The sequence below is a fragment of the Homo sapiens genome, chromosome 7, assembly GCF_000001405.40.
Source record: "Homo sapiens chromosome 7, GRCh38.p14 Primary Assembly".
In the NCBI taxonomy this organism is placed as follows: Eukaryota; Metazoa; Chordata; class Mammalia; order Primates; family Hominidae; genus Homo; species Homo sapiens.
The window spans coordinates 146875213-146887824 of record NC_000007.14 but is presented as its reverse complement, the minus strand read 5'-3'; the positions used below and the strand labels follow the sequence as shown (position 1 = coordinate 146887824).

At 35.1% G+C, this 12612-nt stretch overlaps 1 protein-coding gene across 2 annotated transcripts in view, besides 1 other annotated feature; it reads right to left on the bottom strand.

Moving 5' to 3' along the window:
• The window catches only part of CNTNAP2 (contactin associated protein 2), a 2304198-nt gene that overhangs the window by 1533174 nt on the left and 758412 nt on the right, over positions 1-12612 (bottom strand). The gene's annotated exons all lie outside the window — the stretch shown is intronic.
• Positions 12080-12596: an enhancer, noted in NCBI's record as "NANOG hESC enhancer chr7:146572321-146572837 (GRCh37/hg19 assembly coordinates)". NCBI's record gives its function as "activates a minimal SCP1, AML or CMV promoter by ChIP-STARR-seq in naive H9 embryonic stem cells {active_cell/tissue: H9 hESC(naive)}" and the evidence as "EXISTENCE:reporter gene assay evidence [ECO:0000049][PMID:30033119]".

Sequence of the window (12612 nt, the reverse complement as noted above, 5' to 3'; positions counted from 1 at the left end):
ACCTGTGAAGTGTACATCTGTGAATACAATCTCATCTAGAATAAAATGCTAAATTTGCATTAACACCTTAGAAAAAAAGCATATCAGGAAGCCAGCCTGAGTTTATTAAGGCCAGACTCAACTTAATTCTTTTGTTTGTTTTGACAAGGCAATTAGAGAAAATACAGGGGAATATAGACCGTATGCCTGGATTTCAACAAAATTTCTTACTGAAAGAAATTTTAGAAAAAAAATACAGAAAAATAAATGGTAATGTGAAAGAAAAACTGATTCAATGGCTTTACTCATACTTATTAATAATGAAGGTCAGGCTGCAGGATATTAATGTAAAATAATTACAATTAAATGAGATAAATAAAAACCATGTACTTATGACATCAGGTGATCCGCTGCCTCGGCCTCCCAAAGTGCTAGGATTACAGGAGTTGGAGACCAGCCTGGCCAACATGGAGAAACCTGTCTCTATTAAAAATACAAAAAAACAAAACAAAACAAAACATAAAACAGAATCAGTTGGGTGTGGTGGTGGGCGCCCGTAATCCCAGCTACTCGGGAGGCTGAGGCAGGAGAATTGTCTGAACTGGGGAGGCGAGTTTGCAGTGAGCCAAGATCGCGCCATTGTACTCCAGCCTGGGCCACAAGAGCAAAACTCCACTGTCGCAAACAAACAAACAAACAAAAAAACTATGTAGATATCTAGATATCTGAGATAGAAAAAAATGAAGATTTTTATGAATACTTAGTCTGATGGATAGAAGAGTAAATAAGGAGACTGGGGAATGGAGAGAAGCATGAGGGGATACAGACACACCATAAAGGAGTTAAGGGTTTTTACATGGCAGAAATATTAGGTCTATTTCCTATGATCCACTGAGCAGCAGGGCAGACGTCACTCACTGGCAAATTACAGGAATTTAGCAAAAGTTTTCCAGCAAGAAGAGTTGCTTGAAAATGATGAGTTTATAACACTTGTGTTAGTCAAGCAAATACAGAAAAATCCATTTCGTGTTCACGCATAAAGAGAATTCACTCATGACATAGGAGGCTATACTAGATAAACTTATTCCATGTGATGATTGTACAATTTTGGTACTGAGGAACACGTTGGTATGAAAATTTCCTGATGATTTTAAGCAGATTCCTACTTGGCACACTAAGCATACAGAATACTAATGTTACAAAATTTGAAATGCCTAAAAAGAAAAAGATGTGATCATCAATTAACATTTTTAAAGAGAGATTGGTAGAATATTAGATTAAGAAACAGAAAAAAACATACAGTCCAGGCAGTCCCAATAGCCTCCCATGTTATTCTTTCCATGGATCTGTGAGGCAAAGATTAGTAGTCTTATTGAATATACCAGGGCACAAATGTGAATCATTGGAGATATCTACCAAAAAGAATTATAGTGCTGCAATTTTTTTCTTTGTCTGTTTTAGAATTAAACATTAAAAACAATAAAAGAATGTAGGAGGGCAAATTTTGGCAGCTTTGAAAGTGAGATTGGTGCTATCTTGGTATAAAGATATTTCTTTCTTTTTTTTTTTTAAGAAAACTGAACAAAAAATTGATAGCATAAGGGAAAACCTTAGAGTCAGAAAAATCCTGACAAATTAAGAAAGTAATTACCAAAATAAAACACATGAAAAAACATTCCTCCAGCTCTAGGCTTCAGATGCTCTTTTAAAATCAGTTTTGATTGCAGGGTTGAGGGGTGAATAAACCTTCAAATTTTTATAAAAGCAGCCAGAGAAACAATTGGGTTAACTTTACAAGGAATCGTTTTAGAGTAATTTGTACTAGAATTAGTCTATTCTTGAAATCTTAAAAATGTAAAGGGAAAGCACATACACACACACACACACACACACACACACACACACACACACACACACCGACTTACATATATTCAGAGTTAAAGAGCATAATGAAACACGACAAGTTCTATCCTGTGCAAAATACACTCACATATTATTGAAATGCTTAGTTTACAATTCATGCTGAAAAGAATCTTTGACTTCAAGTGATAAGTCAGTTGTTAAAATACTGGCAGAGCACACTCCAAGACAATACGGTAATTGAAAACATGACAAATAGAATCACTTAAGTTTTCTTATTGGCTCGTTTCAATCCATGTCCAACTAATTGCTTTCCTTGCAAAAAGAAGTTCTGAAGACAATAAAAATAATTGCTGAAACTTTCTCTGTAAGATTAAAATCTTAAATAATTAAAGATATCCATTTATATTAACTATAATTATCATGTATTGCTCTTGCTTTTTTAAGGACAAACTAGAGGAAGTGGCAGAATTCAAACAATGCCAACGTGTGTGCATTTTTACATCAGCTATATAAGAGCTTGTTTTGCCAAATTTCCTAACACTGTTTAAATCCCAGGAAATGCCTCAAAGTTAATTACCCATGTGACATTCCCCTATATTATTATTTACATTAGACTACTGGATCCCTGGTATTCTCGTTTCTTGCCACTAACTTGTTAATAATTCATTTTTTAAAAATTTTCTTATGCAAAAAATAAAAGATTTATTTGATGTAAGCTGCAGGTTTTTTATTTTATTGGAATCAACAATGTAAATATCCAAAGACGTTAAGAGTAACTTAACATTTCGGAAGCAAATTATAATTTCATTTTATTTACATTGTTTCTATGTCCTCTGAAAATAGTTTTCCAAGAAACCACACAACTAGTTGGCTAAACATAAGTAGTTAACATAACTCATCTAACATGTAAACATATTTTTCCATGAAATTTTTAGTTTGGGGGTCTGGGAGATACACATGCATTTAAAAAATTTCATTAGACCACCATTGATTATAAACTCTTGAACTTATCAAATGCAGTGATTAGGCTTGTAGAGACTTACCTTTAAAGGCATATATGACATTGAGAGCTGTAAAAATTTTTAAGGGAGCTAGAAAAGCAAATTATAATTTTGTCTACAAGTTTTTAGAATGATAATAATTATTGTACTTTTTATTTTGAGTAGCAGCCTATCATTTACAAAGTAATTTACTCTCTACTTCCCCTCCCTTCCTTGACTAATTTTGCTTGACTAATTCCTGCTCATCAGCATTTTGGCCCCAGTTAGACATGGGCTTTCTCCTCGAAGTCTTCTGTTGCACTCTACTTATGCTCCAGTGGGCCCTCCAGCCCCATCCTGTAGTGCAATGTCCTATTCATCACCTGAATGTAAATCCCATATGTATGGGACCTCATCTACCTCAAGGAACATTGTACTCTCCATGCTTAGAACAGCATCTAACCCATAGCTGATACTCAATACATACTGAGTAGGAAACATCTCACTCAGTTCTTAAGATGGCACTGGGAGGTTTCGAGATGCCCAAGAAGAGAAGGAGCTGTATAGTAGTAACAGCCAAAATAGGGACCACTCTTTCCACTATTCCATTGCTACCTGTCAAATTTATTCTTCCTCCAATTTTAGCTGCAATGTACCTGCAAATAAATAATATGCAAGAAAAGAAGCACAGTTGAACCTCACACACAAATTTGAACTGTGCAGGTCCACTTATATGCAAATTTTTTTCAACCAAACGTGGGGATCAAAAATACAGTATTTTCTGGATCCAAAACCCACATATCAGGAGCACCAACTTTTCATATACCTGGATTTCACAGAGCTAACTGCAGGTCTTGAATATTTGGGTTTTGGTATAGGCAGACGGTCCTGGAACCCATCCCCTGCATATACCCAGGGACAATTATATTACGGAGTTTGTTACTGGTAAAATAATAGTTAGAAATCAGATGAACTTTTCTATTGAAAATGCCCTATTTACATGCTTAAAATTCATTGAACATCAATAGTAACCAAGATAGGTCATAAACTATGGCTTCTTCCAAAAAAACTAATAAATGACACTTCAAACATAATATGATTATTTTATATATTAGCAGAAAGTGGAACAACTTACATTAACATTCTCTTTGATGTTAAAAAAACAGCTTGAAATTATTCTAAATAATCTATAAGATGATTTTGGAGAAATTGGAGAAACTAATTTTTTATACTAAAATAGTGTTTTGATCAATTGTTTAGAGCCATTATTTTTAAACATTCTGTCCTGATGTTCTTAACTCTTTAGTACATTTATTATAACCTAACAAGATGGCATTTCACAAATGATAATGTGTGTGTATTGGCTGTATGTACTTATGCATTTGAAAGGAATGGAGCAGAGACAGAAACACTTAAATTTGCTGAGTTCTCGCAAAATCTTCTCTTCGTTGTCCTAAATTTCTAAGCTAAAGTTTATTTGGTTCTTATGAGAATATTCCAATGAAAATAAAAACTGTTTTCTTTTAAATATGCATGTGCACACACATGTGTAAATCTTCCCTTTAAAACCTCAATAACTGCAAATTTGAACACATAGAAAAAAACGTATTTTTTGAGAATTACTACTAGCAACTAAAGAAAAGAGAAAGGCAATGCAATTATCAGAAGTATGTGCCAGGAGCTTAAATATAATTTTAAAAGTTATCTCTGAAATTATTGGAAACACCTTTATAGGGAATATTGTGAAATAACATTGTAAAGAATAATATGCTGTATTTCAGTTTTGAAATAAATAAAAATTTTGAAAAATACAATGTACAAATGCATATCCATGGCTAAAATAATTCAAGTCCATTAGTTATTTAGAACTATATAAACAACTACATAAAACAAATTTACAGTTACGGTACCTATGTAACACACCAAATAGTTAAAAAGTACATAACCTATTCTGCAAAAAGTGACATTTGTAGTTTGATCAGAATAGGTTTGAATCTGTAAATTGCTTTGGGCAGTGTGGTCATTTTAACAATATTGATTCAATCCATGAACATGGAATATTTTTCCATTTATTTGCATCATCTCTGATTTCTTTCAGCAGTGTTTTATGGTTCTCCTTGTGGAGATTCTTCAGCTCTTTGCTTAGTTGTATTCCTAGATATTTTCTTCTTTTTGTAGCTATTGTAAAAGGTATCGCATTCTTGATTTGGTTCTCAGCCTGAACATTATTTGTGTACAGAAATGCTACTTATTTTTGTACAGCACTAGGAGCTGACCTACCATTCAGCTCAGCAATCCCATTACTGAGTATATTAGTCTGTTCTCACACTGCTATAAAGAACTGCCCAAGACTGGGTAACTTAGGAAAGAGGTTTAATTGACTTACAGTTCTGCATGGCTGGGGAGGCCTCAGGAAACTCACAATCATGGCAGAAGGGGAAGCAAACACATCCTTCACATGGTGGCAGGAGAGAGAAATGCAGGGTGAAGAGGGGGGAAAGGCCTTTATAAAACCATCAGATGTCGTGAGAACTCACTCACTACGATGAGAACAGCATGGCGGAACCATGATCTAATCACCTCCCATGAAGTCCCTCCCCTAACACATGGGGATTATAATTTGGATTACAATTCAAGATGAGATTTTAGGTGGGGACACAGCCAAACCTTATCACTGGGTATATTCCCAAAAGAAAATAAATCATTCTGCCAAAAAGATACATGCATTCATATGTTCATTACAGCACTATTCACCATAGCAAAGACATGGAATCAACCCACGTGCCTATCAAAGGTGGGTTGAATGAAGGAAATATGGTTTATATACACCACTAAAATACTATATAGCCATAAGAAAGAAACCGTGTCCTTTGTAGCAACATGGATGTAGCTGGAAGCCATTATCCTAAGCTAATTAATGCGGGAACAGAAAACCAAATACTGCGTATCTTCACTTATAAGTGGGAGCTAAACATTGGGTACAAATGGACACAAAGATGGCAACAACAGACACTAGAGACCAGCAGAGGAAGGAGAGAAGGAGGAGGCAAGAGTTGAAAAACTAACTGTTGGGTACTATGGTCACTATCTAGACGACGAATATATTTGTGCTTCAAACCTCAGCACCATGCAATATACCTTTGTAGCAAAGCTGCATATGTATCCCCTGACTCTAAAATAAAAGGTAGAAAAATAATAAAAGAAGATAATGTGTTTTTATATTTTGTAAAAAAAAAAAAAAAAAAAATTATAGGGATCAGTTCACCAAGCACAAGTGACAGAGATCATAACTCTTGGGGGTAAAACTTGTATATATTTTTTGCTATTTTTTCCCTTAGTTTTTGAAATATCCATATTTTCCATTTATTGTGTCAAAAAATCATAAATTTTTCATGTTTTCAGAAAACATCCATTTTTAGCAAAACATAACCAATAGTAGCATTTGAAGTTTCATCCCAATCCAGGGTCTTGACCCCCACCTCCTCACCCAAAATAAATAAATAAATGGAACACACATGAATAATTAAAGACTGGGCTAAAAATCAGGCAGGGCCTTAAGATGATTTTGTAAGTAGGACTTCTTATGATGTCTGGGTTTCCATAAGATACTGTATTTGATGAAAATATTTGCCATATCCTAATAAATCCCACAATTTTAAAGCTCTAAGAAAAATTAGAGATCATCCAATTCTATAACCTGCTTTTACAAATAAAACATGAAAAATTTGGTTTACATATTTGAGATTATTCAGTTTATTCTTGAGAAAACCAATACAGTTTTATTGGCTTTTCCTGTAGGTTAAAATACCTAAGATCTAGAGTAACGTGTGTGGAATTAGAATTGTTCCATGTGATAGGGTTCTATTGGATGGCAGTGCAAAGAATGCAGACTTGGCTCAAAATTCTGGAAGGATTTTTAAAAGACTTTCCTGGAATCTACTCAATGCCAATAATTACTTGGCTGGTAACAAAAATAATTCCTTATAAACATCTCTCAGATATTAATTTTGCTCACATTATAGCTTCAACAGATTTAGGAATGTCATTTAAATGCTGCTGGTTTATTATGCAAACACAAAGCCACAATTCTGCAAACACATCTCTGAAGACATTTCTGAAGTTAGTAAGTCCTTGTGAATCTAATGAGGATAATATTTCATCCCCTGAGATTTTGTAGACAACAGATTAAAAGATAATAAAACAAATATTCAGCCCTCTGTAAGTTTGAGTTTCCAAAGAGATGACAAAATGTTTTTCTCCTTCTACTAATATATAAATGGGAAAACCAAGCACAGCACAGCAGAGTTTTGTACTTGCACACCTAATTGTCATCAAAGTATTAGAAAATATACTCCTTAAATGGTTTAGTTGGGATGATAAAGAGGGAAAACATAATGAAGTAATAAAAAGCTCCCATCTGTGGCCTCTGGGTTCATATTTCAACTCCACTGTTGTGTAGAATTTTCTACTCAGGTAAGATCTTTATTTACTTAATTTTAAGTTTTATTTAATTGTATTTATGTTTGGCTTAAACAAACATTTATTTCTCACAGTTCTGAAAGCTGGAATTCTAAGACATGGTGCCGACATGGTGCCAGCATGGTCAGGTTCCTAGTGAGGGCCCTTTTCCTGGCTTACAGGTGGCTACCTTCTTGGTGTTCTTCGAATGGCAGAAAGAGAGAGCATAAAGGAGCTTTTATGAATTTCTTTCTATAAGGGCTCTAATCCCATCACGAAGGCTCCAACTTCAGGACCTAATCACCATAGGCTCCTGTTTCCAAATACCATAGCAATAGGTATTAGGCTTTCAACATGTGAATTTGTGGAGGACATAAACTTTTCATTATTATCTGTGATATATTTGGCTGTGTCCCCACCCAAATCTCATCTTGAAATTTTAGCTGCCATAATTCCCATGTGTTGTGGGAGGGACCAGGTGGGAAATAATTGAATCATGGGAGTGGTATCCCACATACTGTTCTCATGGTAGTGAATAAGTCTTACGAGATCTGATGGTTTTAAAAGGGAAACCCCTTTCACTTGGCTCTTGTTCTGTCTTGTCTGCCACCATGTAAGATGTGCCTTTTGCCTTCAGCCATGATAGTGAGGCCTCCCCAGCCACGTGGAACTGTGAGCCCATTAAACTTCTTTTTCTTTATAAATTACCCAGTCTCCAGTATGTCTTTATCAGCAGTGTGAAAACAGACTAATACAATCTTTATTTTCTTTATTATTATAAAGAAAAATAACATTCACTGAGCACTGACCGTGAGCTCATGAGCTAAGATGTAGAAACAAGCTGTTCTCATTTTGGGAGAAGGCTCTCAGCTCCACAGTCCCTGCCAGGTTCTGGACCCAGGCATTTGTCAGACAAATTACTTGTGCCTTAATTCCCATATCTTGGAAGTGAGAGTACTGACTTCATGGAGTGTTATGAGACTTAAATGAACTAATTCCTGTAAAACACTCATAAGAGTGTCTGTAACATAGTAAATGCTAATTTAATATTATATATTTTATTTAAATCTTGTAGAAAATGAAGGATAATTAATAGAAAAGAGAACAATATAAAGTTGTTCAACACTGCCTCTTGACAGCTTATCAAATGTAACATTAAAATAATTTTAAAACATGTTTACTAACATGATATATAAAAGTTGGGAATATCTTATATAACTGGATGCATTTAATTCTAATTTTAAAAAATCCAGAATGGTTTTAAATGTAGAAAGAGTGGAAAGGAAGTTTATCATCTATGCCAACATCTATTGATAATAGTAACTAGAATTAATAGTCAGAAGAGTAAATCAAATCAAGTATGCAGTGATGGGAAAATGATGCCTGCCACAGGGCAATGAAATGGCAGCACAGACACTGCCTCAGTCAACCTATGAAGGCATCTGCTTTCCATTATATTTCATTCCACACATACTTATGGAGCAGTTACTACAAGCCTGGAGTGTTTCTTGGTTTGAAAATGTGATTGAAAGCAACCCAGACAGTCCTTTCCCTCACAACTGATATTTTGTTGAAGAAAGGCATTAAACAAATGAGCAAATAAAGTTCGCAAAAGGTAAGTGTCCATTATAGCAAAGTAAAACAAAATAAGGGGTTAGAGAGATACTAGGAGTTCTTGAAAGTGGTCAGAGCTGCTTTGAGTTGGACATTTCAATGGGGAGTGGAGAGGGTGGAAGAAAGCGTAAGAAGATCGGCAGGTAAGGCAAACAGTTGCAAAGGTCAGGAGGCAAGGAAAAGCTCATCTTTTTTGAGAAGCAGCGAGAAAGCTGATGTACTTAGAGTGGAGTGAGGGCAGGGGAGGTCCACAGAAATGGGGTCAGAGAAACAGGCGCTGTCAATTTATGAAGGGCCTCCTGGCAATTAAAAGAGTTAGGGCTTCATTCAGAGAGTGAAGTTAAACTAGTGAAATAATTTTTTCAAAAGAGAATGACAGCGTCTGCTTTATGATATTAAAAAGATATGGTTTTCTAACTCCTACCTTAGGTCATCTTTTCTAACATAAACATAGGGCTGGTATAATCTTATTAAAAAAAAAAACTCAAGAGTACTTGTGGGAAAGGGAAAATGTAGAGTCTTACTCAGCAATTCAGCTGTAAAAAAATATTCCTAAGTGACTAGCAAAATGAAGTTAGCATTATAGAAAAAAAAAAAAGATAATACATCATCACTTTCTTCCTTCCCCTCTCCTCCCAGGGTTTGCCACTGGCCAAATGGAAGAAGAAGATCAAGGACAAGAAGTCAATTAATGTCACTGACAGAAGTCAGCAGCCTGCCAAATACTATGGTAAAAAATGTGGAGAGTGGATCTAGAAGAATAAATAGAAGATATCTACCACTCAAATTGAAGTGGTTGCATTAACAGTATTCAAGATACAGCTATCATAATTAGGGGACGTTGGCCCATGAATAAACACCAAAATAAAGTAAATTGTGTTTCCAGGAGACATTTTAAAATGAAAGAATACAAGTTCTGAATCCTCTTTTAATGTATTCTATTGAGTATTTTATTATGTTAAAGAACTGAAAATGACTTAGGACTATCTTAAAACAATATGCTGAAGAGGAAACATTAATGAACTGTATTTTATGAAAGTCGATTACTTGATTTAGTGAAAATAATTCATAGTTTTCACTTGTCATCATGGTCGGGTAATGAACTGAGAATCTCCTATAATAGAAAAACTATCATGGAAGGTGACATCATGAAATATAAACAGTTCTCAAATAATCTTGCTTCATTCAAAGTAAATATCCAAATAGCACTGAAAGCCATAGAGCTGCTAAAAAAGTTTAAAAGTCCATATATATGTATACATATATGTATATGTACATATACACATATATACACACATACATACATACACACACATATATAGTATACACACATATGTATATATGTATACATATACACACACATATATAGTATACACATATTATTTATATACACATATACACATATTTTATATATATATATATTTTACAGACAGGCTCTTGTTCTGTTACCCTGGCTGGAGTGCAGTGGGGCAATCATAGCTCACTGCATCCTCAAATTTGTGGGCTCAACCCATCTTCCAGGTTTAGCCACTCCAGCAGATAAGACTGCAGGCACATGGCACCACACTAGGCTAATTTTAAGTTTTGTTATAGAGATGGGGGGGTCTCACTATGTTACCCAGGCTGATTTCGAACTCTTAGCCTCAAATGATCTTCTCCTCTCAGCCTCCCAAAGTGCTGAGATTACAGGCAAAAGCCATCATGCCTGGCCCCTTTCCTATGTTTTTAATGGTCGAAAAAATTATGTTTTACCTTCTTTTCATTAACTTGTATGTTCTTGTTTCTGAATGCAATGCTTTTGTTATTTCTTGCTTGATATTTATGTCCTTTCTTATACAAAGCACATAATGAGAAAGACACTGATATCTATAGTCAAAATAACCATTAAGATCATTTCTTACATGCTTAATGTCATCAATGAAAAACGCTTAAAGCAGTAGTTAAAAGTAAAAAGTTACAAATATACCAATAACCTAAATAGTGAAATATGAAAATAAAATGATTTTTGCACTAAGTCTACTTAATTATCTAATCTAGAACAACCAATATGCATGGGTATGACAGAGGAAAAAATGTGCATTTCCTCCAGTCTTTTCTGAGCCTTCCAGACTTTTTGAGTGAAAAACACATATAATGTGAATTAGGTCAACAATTTTGACCCAATAATGTGTATTGGATCATTGTTGACCTGATAATCAACAATACACATTATTGTATCGTTGATCCAATGACCCAGGGTGATCTGGAGGGCGATTTTGCAACTTGAGAATACATGTTTTAAATCAGTATGTCTAGAAGGTTCTGGCACAAATGTAAGGGTTTAATAAATGGTTGTTGAATGGATTAATAATGAAAGATGAAGGATCAGAATAGCATTTTGAGGCAAACGAAAGTTACAATATTCCTGGCAGTATTCTGAAGTTTTATTCAACTCAAATATTTTTCTAGGAAGGACATTTATTTTATTATAGAGTTTTATCTCCTTTGCTGAAATCATAATCACAATGATATGAACAATATGCTTTCTTTACGGAGGAGCTATTTTAAGAGAAAAATTCCAAAATAAATAACACAAAATGGTATATGAAATCCGACCTGATTCACAGAAGGAAAAAGAACATGCCCTGGGGGACTTGGCAGCAAATACAAGCCAGCAGCAAGAATATGACCTTCAGTGTCTGCTCTCATCTTCAACCTGGGAAGATTCAGGTGATGCAAGAATAGATTTGGTGACGATCCCATGAACTCCCTAAGAGTCAACATGCATCTAGATCTCTCAGTCCTGACTGATTTAATTATTTTATTTGGATCTGTCAAAGCAAAAAACCAAAACAATCTGCCAAACAAAGTTAAACAGGCCAGGAGTTTAATGTAAGAGAGGAGGGAAGCCAAAAGTCAAAGTGAGCTGTACTGCAACTCCTGCCCCCAAAAAGATGTTTTTGTTCTTCTTCTCGTTTTTTTGTTTTTTGTTTTTTTTTTTTTTTTTTTTTTTTTTTGCTGTGTATGTGTGTGTGTGTGTGTGTGCGTGTGTGTATGTGTGTGTGTGTGTTTAAGATAAGGTCTCCCTATGTTGTCTAGGCTGGTCTTGAACTACTGGCCTCAAGTGACCCTTCTGCTGTAACCTCCCAAAGTGCTGGGATCATAGGCATGAGCCACCACACCTGGCCAAGCTGAAAAATTTTTATAAAGCTAGAATTAGGTCATAAAGGACCTGGGTTTTAGGCCACCAGTATTTCCTAACTGGCTTTGCCCCCCCGCCAAAAGCAAACTGCCTCTTAGGAGGTAGTTTTACACCTTGGAGCAAAGCATCCTTCAAATGTAGGCTCCTGCTATCCCACAGAAGCTGGAAGACAGGGGCTCTGTCTTCATTGATGTTTACATTTCGAAGAGCTGGCTTCCAGGTCTTTTGAGAAAGACAGTTTCGTGTTTTAAAACTGGCAAAGCACTTTCAAAAAAGATTTACATCTCAAAGAGTCAGAGAAAGGATTTACAATTACTAGTTTTCTAAAGGGAATGCTCTAAGAAAAGGGAGGTCAGGGCCTAGATTTAAGCAGCAGCTTGTGTAAAGTTTAATCAAGCTGTGGGGAACATTGAGGCCATTTTAGTCAGATCCTAAGATATAATCTTGTTTATTCCAGAGGCCCTCCATATAGGAGAATTATTTATCTGAATCCCTTCAGTTATAAGTTTGTGTAGAGAACCAAATTCAGCTTCTCAT